Here is a 21,498-nt window from a genome sequence, read left to right on the forward strand (position 1 = left end):
TCCCCTTCCTTCTGCAGCTGGATAGTTGAGAAAGCTGAAAATCAAATAAGTTGATTTCAAGTTTCTGTTGCCTTCATAATCCCATCATATTTTCTTGATAAATGCAAGGATAGTAAAAGAAATCATGGAACCTCAGGAGAATGGCGTGAACCCGGGAGGCAGAGCTTGCAGTGAGCTGAGATCACACCATCACACTCCAGCCTGGGCGATAAAGGAAGACTCCATCTCAAAAAAAAAAAAAAAAAAAAATTATGGAACTTTGACCCCTTATTCTTCTCCAAAATACTTTCCATTGCAACCCCATTCCCAGAGAAGAGTAGCATTTTGCTCTGCTATGCTCTGTCCCTTACTGAATCTTGTCTTATAACTAGGATCTACATACAACAGTGTTAAGGGTGAAAAGAAAAGTAAGAGTAGAGAAGAAAGGAATTACATCCAGAAGGAAATGTAAGAGTTTTCTAGGTAAATTCAGCAAAAACAGGGAAAACTGCGTGGTTATGCATTTTGCACTACTTCTTCAAGGATGACTAAACATAATTTTGATTGACAACTTAATTACTCTAGGACATCTCACTGGAGAAGCTTGATTTAATGTAGTAACTAGTAGTTACTTTCACAGTTTGCTGATGTAAAGGTCCCTTTGCATAATATAAACTTGAAAGGCTGCAGAAGAAAAATGCTAGTGTGGATCTGTCATATATGCTTGCCCTATGTTTCTCACCAGGGTCCTCAGGACTCTCCACTATTCCCTTTTCCTCACATTAGGAAAAGATCTGTAATGGAATGCCTGAAGCCCTGTGAGGGAATCTCGGACCAAAGGTGGATAATTAATTATACGGAACTGGAGAGGCAAGAATAGCTGGGCTCAAGTAGTGGAGAAAACAAAATTAAGTAGGCAGAGTTATGCCAATTGGTAGTTGTTGATGCCTGGTACCTAGGGTTCAGTGAGATCTCTTTATAAAGATTCTTTAGTTCTGATGTCCCAGTGACAAAACCACAAGCAAGCCTATTAAGGACTGCCTAGTTAATATTCACTAAAACATCTCACACCTGAGTCAGAGGAGAGTCAGCTATATCACAAACCTGTAGCCATTTATTTTTGTGAATATATACAAAGAGATGGAAACTTTCAAACTTTTCAGGAACTATTCGGATACTGACTTTGAGACAAAATAAATTCTCCAGGGATGATGTGATCTTTCAGTCAGAGTGAGGAGGTTAAGTAGTAAATGCTGTTCTGCCACTAGTATATATCACAATAGACTCAGTGAGACCAAGAATTTACTCTGAAGTTGTTTCCCTAAATCCTGTGTTTAGGCAAAATCTCTACATTGGTTTCCTTACCTGTAGAGTGAGGGTTATTATGGTAAGAATGGTGATATGGAAGGCTTTAGAAGCCCGTGTTCCCTTTCAAAAGAATTAAACCAAAGCATATTTAATTGACCATCAAGATCTGAGAGAATCTGATAAGATGCATTCTATCCCTCCTTTTCATGGATCCAGTTCATACTGTGAAAAAGATTCATGGATCCTGGGAAATGATGGATTACATTACATTTAAAAAGATGCAATTGTTGCTACATTTCCTTGCAAAGAAATGTGTCCTGGATTTGGTTTAATTATATTTTTAATGTACCAATCTTTTGAATAATTTAGGGAACTATGCAGATAACTGAAAACTGAAAATGTTTAACATTGTAGACCATAAATCAGTAGAAATATGAAAGAAAACACATAAAGGCATATACATAAAGAAATAATTATAATTAATTATAATAAATAACATTTCCATGGCTGTTTCAAATGATTTTATATATATTATCTCATTTGACTTTATAACAATAATGTGAGACAAATATAGCAGGAATTAGTATTTCTAGTTTATTGATGGGCTCAGAGAGGTTAAATGAATTGATTCATTCACCCTCGTGGCTTGAATTATCATACAAATATATGCTGAGGCTACCAAATCAACTCTACCATAGATTACTGCAATAGCCTTCTAACTAGTCTCTGAGGCTCCTGCAAAATGCAAGTTCCTTCCAAAAATACAAATCTAATACAGTCACCCTCCTATTTAAAATCCATGATTTCTCATCTTAACTCCAGCCTCCAACCATGGTATTTTGCATAGAGTAGGGCCCACATATATCTGCTGACTGAATGAGCAGATTACTGAATTAATGCTGGTAACAAGTGGTTGAGCTGGAATATGAATCTAGACTTCCTCATTTTGAATATGCAAAGAGAAAGCTTAGGAAATTCCAAACCCAGACACAGACTGAATATTCCTAGTGCATGAGGGATACAATAGCCTAAGTTAGATCTAGAAGTTATTAGGCAATCAACACCTGCTGGTGTTTAAATCTCAGTTTCTCTGCCAGGATCCAGTGCTCTAATGTTTAAAACCAAATATAAAACATATAAACATACTGAGATCTAAGATGAAATCCACACAAAGCAGAAAAACACAGAGGTCATTATCAATTTTTAAAGGAAAAGTGATGATTTCATCACACCTAGTAAATTTCAAGTGACTTCCATCTTAGAGTTATTGGGTTTGGTAGCCTGTCAGCAAGAATTACCTAACAATAATACTCCTGTTATATAATGGCACCCTAAGCAGTAGTTACCATCTGTAGAAAACAGCTGAACTGACTGATTGCTTGTAAAATAATCAAGCCGAGAATTAGAAAATCATCAGTTCTGGATCATACTTTTCAGGACAGCCATAGAAGTTTCACAGACAACTATCAAGAAGCAAAGTCAATTTATTATACCAAATTAAACCTAATAAATTCACAATCTGTGACAAAGTTTCAAGTACTCTGCAAAAGACCTGAGATATGCTGGATATGCTTAATATGAATTAGCAGATTTGCTAACTGCTGCTACTGATGATGATGATGATGATGATGATGATGACAAAAATAGGAGCAGCTAATAATTAGTGCATACTTAGTGCTTTACCACACAATGAAATACAGCCTTTCATGTATTATCTCATTTGATCCAAACCCTCTCATCTTTATATTGTTCAGTACTATTATTATTCCTACTTCATAAATGGAGTTGTAAGGGGTTAAATAATTTACATATGGTAACACTAAAAGTAAGTGGGAACCTGAATCCATTCTGTTGAACTGACTCTAAAATCTATATTCTTAATGACTACACTATCCTAGCTGAATATCTCAGGCTCTTGGTAGTGCATATAATACCTCTATGCATTTGGGACCTAAGAAAATGGAAGACCTGACCTCATATTCAAAAACACTCAAGGTATATTCACATTTCATCTTGTCCAGAGTTTGATTTCTTTTAGGACCTATACAGTTCTTCCAAGGACTCACAGACAAAAAGGGAAAATACCTCATGCACACACCACTGGGTAGAAAGATGTAAGTGTTAATTATCTTGTCATTTGGGACTGCTTTTATACGCCTCTGTATAGTTACTTGAATTTTATGTATCATTTCTTTAAGATTTTTTTATAGACCACTGAGCATCTAAAGAAAAAAAAATGAGGGGGGTGGTATAGGGAAAGACATAGAATAGAGTTCTTTCTTTTAAAGTAAAATAAATGTCCATGGAAAGTTTTTGACAGACAAATTACTGCCAATCAGGAATGAAACATTAAATTCTAAATCAATGAACCTTAGTGGCTCTAAAATATATGAGGAAAAAAAATTTCACTGCTGATATTATGGTTATTCGTGGACTGTCAAGCCCTTCAAATGTTGGCTTCAATCTGATTCTAAGTCTGAAAGGTTATTACAAATACCAAATGGCTTTTCAGATAAGATATTGGCTCTCTGGAACCCCTTTTACATGGTTAACAAACTCTGTTGTGTTTCCACCTTTTCATTAAATGCTCTTTTAGTCTTAACTGAAAGCTGGCTCTGCATTAAGGATGTAGATTCTCCTACGGTTCTCTCAAGAAGAAGCTGCTCATTCAAAATCAGGCCATAAGATGGGTATTATTCTTACTCTTCAGTGTTTCTCCCAGTCCATCATCACTCCTCCAGAATGTGCATGTATTTCAGCTTTATCATCCTTCATCCCTGTTTATCTCTTATCTCTGTCAAAAATCCAATCTTGTAGTTGATCATTCGCAAAAGTTCACCAGACTTTGTTATTTAACCAGTGGTATTGGTTGATTGCCTACACCAAAGCCCTTTCCTTCCTTTTCTTTATAAGAGAATGAGCTTCTATTTTTTCCTCAAAATTCAGAGAAGGATGACTTCATTCTCATCTCAAGAATCAATTTTGACTGGTTTAGCCAATCATTATGTTTTCAATCTCCTACTAAATAATTGGTTAAGACAGAGGAATGTGAAACAACTTTGGCTAATTAGAGGCAAGGAATGTGGCGGGCAACTTATAGAAACAGTTCTGTTGCTGTTATATATTATCATGTCTAGGTGAAAGGCATGGGAGTGTGCTTATTTATGAATGGTAAGATTAGAGTAGTTTTTATTTTCTTCCTGTACTTTTCTTTTTTCCCCACCATTTTCCACAATGAATAGATATTACTTTCATTAAAAAAAACCCCTAAAAATCTTGAAAAGTATTCACTTGATTCTGCTACTGGTTATGATAAACTAATAGGCACAGCACTAATCTTTCCAGTGTGAAAAAAAAATCCTGGAAACCTGGAAAACTGTACAAGGAGTCTGAAAGAACGGTTTTAGATACTGGACAAGAGGTAATGCAGAATTATGATCCCACAGACATAATGATACTGAGAGCAGGAGAGCAAGCGAGGCAAGCTAGCCTAGAGGCAGCTTCCAGGATGTGCTATAAAGCAGGCAAAGGGAGAGAACTGAAACAGAACATGGTTGTCTTACTGAGTTGAAAAGTCAGAGACTAGAGCCCAGGAGTTCAAGGCAACAAGTATTTACAGGACTGAGTATCAGAAAGGAGGATGCTACAAAAGAGAGCATCCAGGAAAACTACAGAAAGGTCCTTTCGGTATTTGGTGGAGTACTAATTTGTGTTTGTAGGGGAGGCAATTACCAAAGGCTGGAGAAAGAACCATTAGAAATGAAAAGGAAAAGAATCTGTGAAAGTCTTACAGGGATGACCATACTTTGTGTTTCCACCAGCCAGAGTTTAAAGACCTCCAAGCTATCCAAAGCATCATGCAGAATTCTCCCAAGGGTACTGCTTTAGAACTGGTGACAAATTAGACCTAGACAAAAAGCTGCTATGGACCCACTAGATACTTAAGAGCAAGTCTTGAATGAATCCAATTGCAAATAACTAAAATCCATGTGCAAACAAAATATAATATTATTTAAAGGAATACAACACAGCATCCAACAATATGAAATGTAAAATTTCACGAATCCAGTAAACAATGACCAGGATGCAAAGAAACAGGACAATATGACCTATAATCAGGTGAACAATATCAATAACCTGGAAAATATACGCATGATGGAACTGGTAGAACAGGACTGTTACATAGCTATTATAAGAATGTTCCATATGTTAACAAGGTAGAGGAACAGGAATATTATGAAGAAAGCAATGGAAGATATCAAAAAGAACAAAATGGAGTTCATATAAAAGTAAAAAAAAAAACACCTCAAATGACAAATACATTGAAATAGATAAACAGCAGATTAGATACTGCAAAAGCAAAGTTCAAAGAACTCAAAGACATCAATAGAAAGCATCCAAAATGAAGTGCATAAAGAAGAAAAGAAGATTGAAAAGAAAATAAACAGAGTATCGGTAACCACAGGACAATGTGAAGTGGTCTAAAATATATGTAAAGGAAGTTTCAGACACAAAGGAGAGATAGAAAAGATATTCAAAGAAATAATAGCCAAAGCCTTCTCAAATTTAATAAAAGGTATAAACTTGCATGTCCAAACTCAATGAATTCTAAGCAGAATTAACATAAAGAATCCCACAGAAAAGACACAGCCTAATGAAATTGCTGAGAACTAGTGAAGAAAATCTCAAAAAAGTAGAGAAAATGAGACATAATTTGTACAAAGGAACAAAGATAACAAAAAGCTTATCATCAGAAACTATATCAATCAAAAGAAAATAGTTGGAACTCTTTAAAGTGTTGAAAGAAAAAAAAAACCCTATTAACCTAGAATTCATTATACAGTGAAAACATCTTTCTGAAGATTTTACCAGAAAAAAAAAAAGTTTAGAGAATTTAATATAAGTGGAATTGCGCTATAGTGTACATTGAAGGAAGCTCCTCAGTAGAATAAAAATGATATCAGATAGAAATCTGAATCTGCACAAAGACATGAAGAATGCAGAATACAGTAAACACATGGGTAATTATGAAATATATATGAATCATTTCTAGACATTTTATAAAATAAATGAGTGTTTAAAGCAAAGATGCAGTAATAATGTATTGTGGGGTTTATAGACTATGTAGAAGTAATATGTATAACAACAATAGCACAAACAAAGGACAAAACATAGAAGAAAAACAATACTTTTGTAAGATTCTTACATTAATGCAAAATGGCATAATATTATTTTAAGGTATTCTGTGTTAAAGATGTATATTGTAAATCCAGGAACAATAACTAAAATATACAACAGAGTCTGAGCTAATAAACTATAGATCACATAAAAAAACACTGATTAATCTAAAAAAAAGCAATGAAAGAAGAAAAATGAACAAAGTATGAAAAAGGAAATATAAAATGAATAGCAAGATGGTAGATTTAAGCCCAATCATACTGAAAATTACATTCAGGAGGTGGAATAAGATGGTAGAATATATGATTACATCATTTGTCTGATTCCTCCCTCCCCAACCCCACCCCTGCAGGAACACCAAATTTTAACAACTATCTGCAGACAGAAAACCACTGGCACAAGAACCAAAAATCAGGTGAGCAATCACGCTACCTAGATTTTTACATCATATCGCTAAAAGAGACATTGAAGATGGGCAGAAAGACAATCTTGTATTGCTGACGCCACCCCTCCCCCATCCCCTGGCAGTGGTTGAACGGCCTGGAGAGTTTGTGCACTTGGGAGAGGGAGAGTGCAGCAACTGGGGGACTTTACATTGAACTCAGTGCTGCCCTGTCATAGTGGAGAAAAAATTGTGCTGGCTGGGCTCACTCAGAACCCACACATGGAGGGAACATTTGGACCAGCCCTAGCCAAAGGAGAATCATCCATTCTAGAGGTCAGAACTTGAGCTCTCAGCAAGCCTCATTGCCACAGGCCAACATGCTCTGCGGTCTTGAGTAAACTTGAAAGACAGTCTAGAACACAAGGAATGGAACTCTTAGGCAACTCTTAGTGTTGGGCTGGGCTCAGAGCCAGAGGATTAGGGTGGTATGTGACTTGGACAGTAACCCAGCCAGGGCAGCTAAGGGAATGCTTGCACCACCTCTCTGCCAATCCCAGGCAGTGCAGCTCATAGCTAGAAAATGAGTCCTTCCTTCTGCTTAAGAAGAACAGAATAATGATACAGGGGATATCACCACTGATCCCACAGAAATACAAACTACCATCAGAGAATACTATAAACACCTCTACGCAGATAAACTAGAAAATCTAGAAGAAATGGATAAATTCCTCGACACATACACACTCCCAAGACTAAACCAGGAAGAAGTTGAATCTCTGAATAGACCAATAACAGGCTCTGAAATTGAGGCAATAATTAATAGCTTACCAGCCAAAAAAAGTCCAGGACCAGAGGGATTCACAGCCAAATTCTACCAGAGGTACAAGGAGGAGCTGGTACCATTCCTTCTGAAACTATTCCAATCAATAGAAAAAGAGGGAATCCTCCCTAACTCATTTTATGAGGCCAGCATCATCCTGATACTAAAGCCTGGCAGAGACACAACAAAAAAAGAGAATTTTAGACCAATATCCCTGATGAACATCGATGCAAAAATCCTCAATAAAATACTGGCAAACCAAATCCAGCAGCACATCAAAAAGCTTATCTACCACAATCAAGTGGGCTTCATCCCTGGGATGCAAGGCTGGTCCAACAAATGCAAATCAATAAACATAATCCAGCATATAAACAGAACCAATGACAAAAACCACATGATTATCTCAATAGATGCAGAAAAGGCCTTTGAAAAAATTCAACAGCCCTTCATGCTAAAAACTCTCAATAAATTAGGCATTGATGGGACATATCTCAAAATAATAAGAGCTATCTATGACAAACCCACAGCCAATATCATACTGAATGGGCAAAAACTGGAAGCATTCCCTTTGAAAACTGGCACAAGACAGGGATGCCCACTTTCACCACTCCTATTCAACACAGTGTTGGAAGTTCTGGCCAGGGCAGTTAGGCAGGAGAATGAATTAAAGGGTATTCAATTAGGAAAAGAGGTAGTCAAATTGTCTCTGTTTGCAGATGACATGATTGTATATCTAGAAAACCCCACTGTCTCAGCCCAAAATCTCCTCAAGCTGATAAGCAACTTCAGCAAAGTCTCAGGATACAAAATCAATGTGCAAAAATCACAAGCATTCTTATATACCAATAACAGACAGAGAGCCAAATCATGAGTGAACTCCCATTCACAATTGCTTCAAACAGAATAAAATACCTAGGAATCCAACTTACAAGGGATGTGAAGGACCTCTTCAAGGAGAACTACAAACCACTGCTCAACGAAATAAAAGAGGATACAAAGAAATGGAAGAACATTTCGTGCTCATGGGTAGGAAGAATCAATATCGTGAAAATGGCCATACTGCCCAAGGTAATTTATAGATTCAATGCCATCCCCATCAAGCTACCAATGACTTGCTTCACAGAATTGGAAAAAACTACTTCAAAGTTCATATGGAAGCAAAAAAGAGCCCGCATTGCCAAGTCACTCCTAAGCCAAAAGAACAAAGTTGGAGGCATCATGCTACCTGACTTCAAACCATACTACAAGGCTATAGTAACCAAAACAGCATGGTACTGGTACCAAAACAGAGATATAGACCAATGGAACAGAACAGAGCCCTCAGAAATAATACTACACATCTACAACTATCTGATCTTTGACAAACCTGACAAAAGCAAGAAATGGGGAAAGGATTCCCTATTTAACAAATGGTGCTGGGAAAACTGGCTAGCCGTATGTAGAAAGCTGAAACTGGATCCCTTCCTTACACCTTATACAAAAATTAATTCAAATAGATTAAAGACTTAAATGTTAGACCTAAAACCATAAAAACCCTAGAAGAAAACCTAGGCAATACCATTCAGGACATAGGCATGGGCAAGGACTTCATGTCTGAAACACCAAAAGCGATGGCAACAAAAGCCAAAACTGACAAATGGGATCTCATTAAACTAAAGAGCTTCTGCACAGCAAAAGGAACTAACATCAGAGTGAACAGGCAACCTACAGAATGGGAAACAATTTTTGTAATCTACTCATCTGACAAAGGGCTAATATCCAGAATCCACAAAGAACTCAAACAAATTTACAAGAAAAAAACAAACAACCCCTTCAAAAAGTGGGCGAAGGATATGAACAGACACTTCTCAAAAGAAGACATTGATGCAGCCAAAAGACACATGAAAAAATGCTCATCATCACTAGCCATCAGAGAAATACAAATCAAAACCACAATGAGATACCATCTCACACCAGTTAGAATGGCGATCATTAAAAAGTCAGGAAACAACAGGTGCTGGAGAGGATGTGGAGAAATAGGAACACTTTTACACTGTTGGTGGGACTGTAAACCGGTTCAACCATTGTGGAAGACAGTGTGGTGATTCCTCAGGGATCTAAAACTAGAAATACCATTTGACCCAGCCATCCCATTGCTGGGTATATACCCAAAGGAATATAAATCATGCTGCTATAAAGACACATGCACATGTATGTTTATTGCGGCACTACTCACAATGGCAAAGACTTGGAATCAACCCAAATGTCCGACAATGATAGGCTGGATCAAGAAAAGTTGGCACATATACACCATGGAATACTATTCAGCCATAAAATATGATGAGTTCATGTCCTTTGTAGGGACATGGATGAAGCTGGAAACCATCATTCTCAGCAAATTATCACAAGGACAAAAAACCAAACACCGCATGTTCTCACTCATAGGTGGGAATTGAACAGTGAGAACACTTGGACACAAGAAGGGGAACATCACACACTGGGGCCTGTTGTGGGGTGATGGGAGGGGGGAGGGATATGCCTAATGTAAATGACAAGTTAATGGGTGCAGCACACCAACATGGCACATGTATATATATGTAACAAACCTGCACATTGTGCACATGTACCCTAGAACTTAAAGTATAATAAAAATATATATATATAAAAGATGAATTAGAGGACACAAAACTCCTCCTCCAAAAAAAAAAGAAGAACAGAATAAAGAGGACTCTGTCATGTGTCTTGGATACCAGTTCAGCCACAGTAGGATAGGGCACCAGGCAGAGTCATGAGGTCCCCATTTCAGGCCCTAGAACACAAATCAATAACAAGTAACAAGATTGAAACCATAATAAAAAGTCTCCCAGTAAAGAGAAGCCCAGGACCCAGTTCACTGCGAGTTCTATCAAACATCTAAAGAAGAACTAATACTAATCCTACTCAAACTGTTCTGAAAAATTGAGGAAGGAATACTTCCAAACTCATTCTACAAGATCAGTATTACCCTGATACTAAAATCAAAGACACATCGAAAAAGAAAACTACATGCCAACATCTCTGATGAATATTGACATAAAAATTCTCAACAAAATACTAGCAAACTGAATTCAACAATACATTAAAAATGTCATTCATCATGACCAAGTGGGATTTATCCCCGGGATGCAAGGATGGTTCAACATACACAAGTCAATCAATGTGATACAACATATGAAGAGAATGGAGGACAAGAACCATATGATCATTCCAACTGATGCTGAAAAGCATCTGATAAAATTCAACATCCCTTCATGGTAAAAATCCTAAAAAATCTGGGTATTAACATTACCTCAACAAAATAAAAGGCATGTATGACAGATCCATAGCTAGTATCATACTGAATGGAGAAAAACCAAAAGCTTTTTCTCTAAGAAGTGAAACACAACTAGGATGCCTACTTTCAGCATTGTTTTTCAACATAGTACTGAAAGTCCTATAGAGCAATTAAACAAGAAAAAGAAAAAAGGGTCATCCAACTCGAAAAGGAAGAGGTCAAATTATCATTGTTTGCAGATGATATTATATTTAGAAAAACCTAAAGCCTCCACCAAAAAAATGATAAGAATTGATAAATTCAGTAAAGTTGCAGAATACAGAATCAGCACACAAAAATCAGTGGCATTTCTATATGCCAACAGTGAACAATCTGAAGAAGAAATCAAAAAGTAATCCCCTTTATAATAGCCACAAATAAAAGTAAATACCTAGGAATTTACTTAGCCAAAGAAGTAAAGGATCTTACAAACTATAAAATACTGATGAAAGAAATTAAAGAAGACACACACAAAAAAATGCAAAGACATTGCATGGTCATGGATTGGAAGACACAATATTGTTAAAATGCCCATATTACCCAAAGCAATCTATAGGTTCAATGCAATTCCCATCAAAGTACCAATGACATTTTTACAGAAATAGAAAAAACAATCAGAAAATTTATATGGAAACACAAAAGACCTAGAATGGCCAAAGCTATCCTGAGCAAAAAGAACAGAACTGGAGAAATCATATTACCTAACTTCAAATCATACTACAGAGCTATAGTAATAACAACAGCATGGTACTGGCATTAAATCCGACACACAGACCAATGGAACAGAATAGAGAACCCAGAAAAGAATTCACATACCTATAGTAAATTCCTTTTAGAGAAAGGTGTCAAGAACACACACTGACTGGGCGTGGTGGCTCACACCTGTAATCCCAGCACTTTGGGAGGCCGAGGTGGGAGGATCATGAGGTCAGGAGATCGAGACCATCCTGGCTAACATGGTGAAACGCTGTCTCTACTAAAAATACAAAAAGATAGGCGGGTATGGTGGCACACACCTGTAGTCCCAGCTAATCTGGAGGCTGAGGCAGGAGAATTGCTTGAACCTGGGAGGCAGAATTGCAGTGAGCCAAGACTGCACCATTGCACTCCAGCCTGGGTGACAGAGCAAGACTCTGTCTCAAAAAAGGAACACACACTGGGAAAAAGACAGTCTCTTCAATAAATTATGGTGGGAAAACTAGAAATCCATATGCAAAATAATGAAACTAGACCCCTATCTCTTGCCATATACAAAAAGCAAATCAAAATGAATTAAAGACTTTAAAATCTAAGACTTCAAACTATGAAAGGACTACAAGAAAACATTGAGGAAACTCTTCAGGATATCAGTCTCGGAAGACTTTTTTTTTTTTTTTTTTGAGATGGAGTCTCGCTGCAATGCCCAGGCTGGAGTGCAATGGCGCACGCAGTCTCAGCTCACTGCAACCTCCACCTCCCGGGTTCAAGCAATTCTCCTGCCTCAGCCTCTCGAGTAGCTGGGATTACATGGCCAGCTAATTTTTGTGTTTTTAGTAGAGAAGGGGTTTCACCATATTGGCCTGACTGGTCTGGAACTCCTGACCTCAAGTGATCCACCCACCTCAGCCTCCCAAAGTGCTAGGATTATAGGCATGAGCCACCGTGCCTGGCCTGGGCAGACATTTCTTAATTAATACCGCATAAGCACAGGCAACCAAAACAAAAATGGACAAATAGGATCACAACAAGTTAAAAAGTTTATGCACAGCAAAGGAAATAATCAACAAAGTGAAGAGACAACCCACAGAGTAGTAGAAAATATTTGCATACTATCCATCTGGGAATTAATAACCCAAATATATAAGGAGACAAAATACTTTATAGGAAAAAACTAATAATCCAATTTAAAAATGAGCAAAAGAATTGAATAACTATTACTCAAAAGAACACATACAAATGGCAAACAGGTATATGAAAAGGTGCTCAACATAATCGATCATTAGAGAAATGTAAATCAAAACTACAATGACATAGCACTTAACTCTAGTTAAAATGTCTTTTATCCAAAACACAGGCAATAACAAATGCTGGAAAGGATGTGGAGAAAAGGAAACCTTCATATACTGTTGTTGTGAATGTGAATTAGTATAACCACTATGGAGACGGTGTGGTGGCTCACGCCTATAATCCCAATACTTTGGAAGGCCGAGGTGGGTGGATCACGGGTCTGGAGTTCGAGACCAACCTGGGCAACATGGTGAAACTCCATCTCTGCTAAAAAATACAAAAATTAGCCAGGCATGGTAGTTAAGCCTGGGAGGCAAACATTGCAGTAAGCCAAGTCATGCCACTGTATAGCCTGCGCCTCCAGAGTGAGACCCTGTCTCAAAAAAAAAATTTTTTTTTAAATCCACTATGGAGAATAATTTGGAAGTTCCTGAAAAAAGTAAAAATAGAGATATCATAAGATCCAGATCCAGCAATCCCACTGCTAGGTATTTATTCAAATGAAAGAAAATCAGTACATCAAAGAGATTTTATATCTGCACTCTCATATTTGTTGCAGCACCATTCACGATAGCCAAGATTTGGAAGCAACCTAATTGTCCATCAACAGATATATGGAGAGAGAAACTGTGGTACTTACACACAATGGAGTACTATTCAGCCACAAAAAAAGAATGAAATCCTGTCATTTGTAACAGTGATCCTGTTATTTTAATGAGCTGGAGGCAATTATGATAAGTGTTAAACCAGGCACAGAAAGACAAACATTGCATGTTCTCACTTATATGTAGGATCTAAAAATCAAAACAATTAAACTCATGAAGCTAGAGAGTAGAAGGATGGTTATCAGAGGCTGGGAAGCACAGTGTTGAGAGGGAAGGTGGGGATGGTTAATGAGTACAAAATAGTTAGAAAAATGAATAAGACCTAGTATTAGCACAACAGGGTGGCAATAGTCAAAATAATTTAATGGTACATTTTAAAATAACTAAGAGTATGATTAGATTGTAACACAAATGATAAATGCTTAAGGAGACAGATATTCCATTTTTCATGATGTGATTATTACACATTGCATGCCTGAATCAAAATATCTCATGTACTCCATAAATACATATGCCTACTAGATACCTACAAAATTTAAAAAATTACATTCATTATAAATCACCTAACCAACCCAATTAAAAATAAAAGATTGTCACACTGAATAAAAAAGCAAAACCTGACTATAAGCTGTGTACAACTTCATATTTTTTTAAAAAATTAAAAGAGAAAGATAGAAAAGAATATACTTATGCAAACACAAGGTCATAAGGAAGTTGAGTGGGTCAATACCAGTATCACAAAAAGTAGATTTTTTTTCAAATAAGACATATTACTAGGGATAAAGAGGGTCATTTCATCATAATAATAATCAGTGCATCATAGGGACATATCAGTTCTAAGTAGTATGCACCCAATAACAGAGCTTCAAAATGCATTAACCTGATAAAATGGAAACTGACAGGATTGATATTGATAAATATAACTGGAGATTTCAACTCCTCTCAGTAATTGATAAAACAAGTATAAAAAAATCAGTAGGAATACAGGAGATTTGAATAACACTGTCAATCAACTTTACCCATGTGATGTCTATAGGCTACTCCACACAGTAACAGCAGAAAACACATTCTTTCTAAGTGCAAATGGAACATTTGACTAGACCATATACTGGGTCATAAAACAAGTCTCAACAAATTTAGAAGAACTGAAATTATATAAAGTATGCTCTCTGATCAAAATGAAAGTAAATTAAAAACCTAAAACAGAAGTATTAATGTATCTAAAAATTTTCTAAATATTTGGGAAGTAAACAACACATTTCCAAATAACCCACAAGTAAAAGAAAACACAAAAGTAATTTGAAAATACTGAAATGAATAAAAATTAAAACATGACATATCAAAATTTGTATACTGTGGCTGGAGTAGTACTTAGACAATAATTTCTAATACTAAAATGCTCATATTAGAAAAGAAGATAATCTCAAATAAATTATCTAAGTTTCTACCCAAAAGAACTAACAAAAGAAGAGCAAATAAACAAAAAGTAAGCAGAAGAAAAAAACAGTAAAGGTGGAAATGAGAAAGCTAGAAATTAGCTAGGCATCTGTTAACATAGGCTCAAGCCTTCTTCATGTGGTCTCTCCACATGAGCTTGCTTAAGTTTCTTCAAGCTTGGAAGCCTCAGCGTAGCTGGACTTTTTACACAACAGCCAACCAAGATGGAAGCAGCACCATCCTTTACAGCCTAGCCTCAGAGTCACAAAGGGCCACTTCTGCCACATTCTGTTGGTTACAATCAACTCACAAGCTTGCCCAGATTCAAGGGGAGGCGAATTAGATGCCATTTCTTAATGAAGTAGTCTCAAGGTTCTAGAAAAAAAAAATGTGTTAAGGAAGATATTGTTGTAGACATCTTTGAACAATGTAATCTATATTATAGATCTGGGTTGACATATACTATCATTTCCATTTAACCTGAAAAACTACCTTTTACATTTCTGTGGTGCAAATCTGGTGACAAATTCTCTCAGCTTCTGTTTATCTGAAAATGTCTTTATTTTCCGTTTATTTTTGAAGGATATTTTCACAAGACATAGAGTTTTCATTGACAGGTTTTGTTCTGTTTTTCTTTCAGGACTTTACAGATATTCTACTGCCTTCTGGTTTGCTCTGTTTCTGATAAGTTGGCTGTAGCTCTTATCACTGTTCTTCATTATGTACTATACCTTTTCGTCTTTGGCTGCTTTAAAATTTTTCTCTTTATTATTGTTTATTTAGCAATCTGATAACAATGTGCCTCAGTGTAGCTTTCTTTGTATTTATCTTGATAAAGTTTTTTGAGCTATTTAAATTCGTGTGTTAATACTTTTTCTCAAACCTGAGAAACTTTGAACCCAGTTATGTATTAGGTCCATCTTATCTTTTAAATTACTGACTATATTAAATTATTTAAAGCCCCTGTCTGCAATTTCCAACGTATGTGTCATCAGTGGATCTATTTCTATTGTCTATCTTTTCTTCTTTTATGGGTAACATTTTCTTGCTTCTCTGCATGTCAAATTTTAGCTTTTTGCTGTAAAACTGTGTATGCTATGTGCTTGAGAGCGTGGAATTGTTTTTTTCTTCCTCATCCTTCAAAGGCTATTGAGTTTTGTTAGAAGGCATTTTTTTTTTTATCGGCAGAGTCACTTTATCTTGTGAAATTGTTAGGGTGAAGAGTAGCTCTTGGGGTTAATATCCAAAATATGTCAAAAACTCAAACTAAACAGCAAGAAAAATAACTCGATTAAAAAATGGGTAAAGGACCTGAATGGACATTTCTCAAAAGAAGATATGCATATGGCCAACAGGAATATGAAAAGATGCTTGGAATCACTAATTATCAGGGAAAGGCAAATTAAAACCATAATGACACATCAATTCATACCTAATAGAATAGCTACTATCAAAAAGACAAGAAATAACAAGTGTTGAAAAGGATGTGAAAAAAAGGAAATCCTTGTGCATTATTGGTGGAAATGTAAATTAGTACAGCCATTAAGAGAAACAGTATGGGAATTCCTCAAGTAGTTTTAACGTATACAACTACCATATGATTCAGTAATCCCACTACTGAGTATATATCCAGAGGAGATGAAATCAGTTTGTCAAAAAGATATCTGCACTCCTATGTTCATTGTAGCATTATCGCAATAGCCAAGATATGGAATCAATCTAAGTGTATATCAATGGAGGAATGCATAAAGAAAATGTAATATAAATAGACAATAAAATATGGAATATTATTCAGACTTTAAAAAGATGGAAATCCTGTCATTTGTGACAACATGGATGAACCTGGAGGACCTAATGTTTAGTAAGAAAAGGCACAGAAAGACAAATAGTGCATAATCTTACCTATACATGGAATCTACAAAAGTTGAACTCATAGAAGTAGACAGCAGAATGGTGGCTGCAAATGAACTCAAAGAAGTTGAGTCATATTGGTCAAATAATACAAAATTTCAGTTAGGAGAAATACGTGCAAGAGATCTATTATACAACGTTGTGACTTTAGTTAATAACAATGTACTGAAATCTTGAAAATTGCTAAGAAAGGAGACTTTGTTTTTTTAACCACCTAAAAAAGTATATGAAGTAATATATATATTAACTAGCTCAATTTAGCCACTCCAGAAGTATACATATTTCAAAACAACAAATGTACATGATGAACATATACAATTAAGAAAAAAAAAACAGAGGAGCTCCTCCTCTAGAGCTTTGAGTAGCACTCTTAAGACCTCATCTTCTGCGGTCTTACTAAATGCAAAAGATGTTTAGCTGGACTCTTCCATTCTGGTTGGTCAGAATTCCAATGTTTCCATGTATGTTTCCAGTGACCTTTGGCACCCTTATTCATCTCACAGACCTCCAGTGGCTGTTCTCTGCCAAGCCTCACAGAGTTTCACTCTGCACATGGCTACTAAATGTTTTTACCGAAGACTCAAGGTCTCTCCAGTGCTGATTAATAGAACTACTTCTTTGAACAACTCCTTGCTCTCTGGTACCTTGCTCCACCAATCCCAGCTGTCACATCAGCCCTATATGCCAGTCTCTGGGATTTTGCTTTTGTGTTTTCTGTGTAAAAACACTGCTTTTTGTTTGGGCTCTGCTTTCCTGTGTTACTGTTTAGACAGTGTCCCCAGACAGAAAAATGGAGAATGGCAAGATTACCTTATGTGTTTCCCCTTCTTTGAAGGATCACAGCCTTTTTATGTCTTCTGTCTAATGCATGAATAGGGTTGCTTCATGTAGTTTATCCAATTTACAATTGTTTATGGCAAAAGGGTAACTTTGATACCTTTTACTCTGTGATGGCTGTAACTAGAAGTCCTATTAATGCCTTTTTAAATTAAAAATAGCACTGCCAATAAAACCTTAATTTCCATACATCAAAAGTCAACCAAAGGAAACTAATAAGTAGTAAAATAAAAATGTGGGGCAAGGGTGTGAGCAGACTCGTGTAATTTCCCATTATTTTAATTTTCTTAGAATAAAAAAAATTCCAAGAGTCACATCATTTCTTGTTCATTTTCATTTCTCACCAACAGCTCTTCATTCTTTCCTAACCAAAGCCTAATTTTGCATTCAACTTCGAGTAGATGATTTATGATGAGTCAACTATGCCAATAATGATGCTCCTATTTTACTTTGTCAGATACTCAATCTCCCAGCCTCCCATAGAGCTGGAAGTGATCATATGGCAGTGTTTTATTCAATGAGACATACAGGAAAGTTTGTCAGGGATCTCCTCAAAAGGTTCTTATTTTCTTAATAAAAGGAATAGGTGAAGGCTGTTCCATTTCCTGTCTTGAATGTGGGTCTCTTCTGACTGTAATATACATGAGAATGAAGAGTTCACACTCTAATTATACCAAAGGAGGAGAAACAAAAGAGCCTGGGTCCATAATGACATCACTGAGCAACTAAACCAATACAGCAACTGACTGCCTTTGAGAAAAATAAAATTTATTTGTTTAAGCCACTCTTTAAGTTTTGTATTTCTTATAATAGAAAGCATTTCTGACTAATTAATGCACATACCATTTGTTCTTTAAACTAACAATAGTTTGCATATAAGATGTAGCTAGTTTTTAAATAGAATATTAGAAGAAAGTAGTTAGAAGCTGCATTCTTTTGAAGCCTTTGGACCAATCAGGTTTTCTTTAGTGTCTATTAAATGCACGCCTCCCTTATATCACCCCATAGATTACAAACTTCCTTGTAGCTAGAGATCTTCTGTTTTAAATATGAGTCTAAGCACTTCTGGGAGTTCAAATTAGCTTGCTGATAAACTCTATTTCTAGATGTTCTATAAGTTATCTCTGTTATCTAGGTATTCTTTGACTGCATTAGGAACAAGGACCCTAAACACCTAAAACTTTTTTTCCCCTGACAGAAATGAGTTTGCTGGTAAGATAAACAAGCACAGGGATGGTCACTGTCTTACGTTCACATTCTCTGACGTCCAAGTTGAACTGCTGTAATGCTCCCAAGGTGAGCTGCCGCACTTCAGCTTCCAACAAAAGTTGCATCAAGGATGTGGCTAAATGCTTGCAAGCTGACATACACGCTGTCTGGGCCACCTTTCCCTGAAACACAAGAGTGTAAATCATAAAGTTAATGCATCTAACATAAATTAAAATAAAATTTCAACAAAACTTAAAATTACTTCTTTTTCAATTAGGAATTTCCCTAAGGTTCTCCTCATCATAATACCCTTCCATTCAAATAATCTTGGAATTAAAGCATCTGATGGCAATCATCTTATATAATAGCTCCGTCACCATCAGTCATGGTAGCTGTAACACTAAGCTAAAATTCACAAAGCCCAGTTATTTAGTCAAGAATTACTTCTTTTCTAAATTGACATCAAACAATATTCAAAATTTTAAGTAAAGTGAGAAACAATATTCTACAATATTGCAGAATACAATATTCCACAGAGAATAAATTTCAAAAACTTCCTTCCAAATTAAAAAATTCTTAAAAATAAAATGTGAACAATAATCCCCACTGTATCTAGAAACCAGTGTTTACTGCTTTATGATTTAACACATATAAAGTGAAAATAATTATGGCCAGGAGCGGTGGCTCACGCCTGTAATACCAGCACTTTGGGAGGCCGAGGCGGGCAGATCACAAGGTCAGGAGATCGAGACCATCCTGGCTAACACGGTGAAACCCAATCTCTACTAAAAATGCAAAAAAATTAGCTGGGCGTGGTGGCAGGCGCCTGTAGTCCCAGCTACTCAGAAGGCTGAGGCAGGAGAATGGCATAAACCCGGGAGGCAGAGCTTGCAGTGAGCAGTGCCACTGCACTCCAGCCTGGGGGACAGAGAGAGACTCCGCCTCAAAAAAGAGGAGAGGGAAGGGGAGGGGAGGGGAAGGTTATTTAAAACAAAAAGATTACCTGAAAAAAATAATTAAGGGGATGCATTTTGTTTTCTTAGAAAATACTGAGATTTATGAATATAAACTCTAGGTCAATTTTGAAAATATGGATTTTAAAATTAATATTTTAGTGTCTTCTTTAAAAGATTCAAAGTACTCTACATTTAGTGAATTACATAAATTTTATATCTGTTATTTATAATCTGTTTCAAAATACAGGATGATGTTTTAAAAACACTATGATCAAATTATTTAGTGAATCATCCTTCTTTTTTGAAATAACAAAATATTTCAGCCATACAGAAAAATACAGAATCATCAGATAAATACTTAACGTATCCCCTAAACATTACAAATACAGTTTAAGCCCCGGTGTGACCTCCTTAATCATGTTCCTCCCAGTCCCCACAGATGACCATTATTGGTATTAGGTATCCCATTTGTTTTTAAAAAGTACTATTATGACAAGTATATAACCAGAAACAATATGCTGTATTATTTTACATATTTTGAAACTTTCTATAATATTATGTAGGTCCTTCTGCAACTTCCTTTTTCAGTTGAATATTATGAATATGAAGATTTTGAAGTGTATTGTATCTAGTTGTAGTTTATTCCTTTAGTTGTTCCATAGTATTCCTTTTTGGAAGTATACCACAATTTATTTGGCCATTCTTCTCATGCTGGAGATTTAAGTTATTTCTTTTTCTTTCTTTCTTTTTGTTTTGGCTATTATAAACAGAGTAAGTCAGTTCTAGTAAGAGATCATGAAAATGCAAGAGCATGACTACAGTGTCCCTTTTATATGTTTTTTCATATGTTATGCTGGGCCAGGGTCTTCAATGAATCTAGCAGGCTTTAAAGAGAAAAACCATAAATAAATAATATCATACTACATTTTAAAATTTACATAATTTTATGTACTTTGGATAATTTCTTTGGAATTACTTTTTGAAGCTACTAGGATGAGGGGTATCAAGACTGTGATCCATAATGCATATGCTTATATGTGAAGACAAACACAAGTGAAAACTAGACTCCCAAATATCCAGTTAAATGACTCTGCTTATGGTATGTTCTGATTTGCATTGTCCCCAGATATTTCGTAGAGTATTACTTCATTGCATAATCACCAGCAGTTTTATAAGTTTTTCTGCTAATTTTTCTACCAATGAAACAAAAGATATTTTATGGATTTTATGTCTTTGATTACTGTGTGCAATTGAATATTTTCTAAATTAGTATTTATTTGACTCAAATCTTATTTGTAGCATAAAAAATAATGATGACCTATTTCAGTATACAGACTATAAATTTTCCTCATCTCCATGGTTTCATTTGTATTTTCTGATGGGCCACACTCTGCATGATTTAAAACAACAAAGGAGGTAATTTAGAGATCAAGTGGAACAGACACAATAGAGGCAAAAACAAATTCTAAAGAGAAAAGTCACATCATAAAAGAAATCCACATTAAATTACTTGGTTTTAATTAAACCCACCAGAGACCTAGGACAGGCACCTCCAA

At 35.9% G+C, this 21,498-nt stretch overlaps 1 protein-coding gene across 11 annotated transcripts in view; it reads right to left on the bottom strand.

Annotated features, from left to right (window-relative positions):
• The window catches only part of EXOC6B (exocyst complex component 6B), a 650,050-nt gene that overhangs the window by 184,719 nt on the left and 443,833 nt on the right, over positions 1-21,498 (bottom strand). For 9 of the 11 annotated variants that reach the window (NR_135773.2, NM_001321734.2, NM_001321733.2 and 6 more), the window contains one exon: positions 19,027-19,168. The exons of 1 other annotated variant lie outside the window; for it this stretch is intronic. Coding sequence is in view for 8 of the 10 variants with exons in the window: in NM_001321734.2 (NP_001308663.1) it covers positions 19,027-19,168 (142 nt within the window). In the remaining 2 variants the exon portion in view is untranslated. Of the gene's footprint in view, positions 1-13,934; positions 15,405-16,931; positions 19,169-21,498 lie in introns of those variants that run through there. One more of the 11 variants, XR_007071495.1, reaches the window with a different exon arrangement.

The sequence above is a fragment of the Homo sapiens genome, chromosome 2, assembly GCF_000001405.40.
Source record: "Homo sapiens chromosome 2, GRCh38.p14 Primary Assembly".
NCBI lineage: Eukaryota > Metazoa > Chordata > Mammalia > Primates > Hominidae > Homo > Homo sapiens.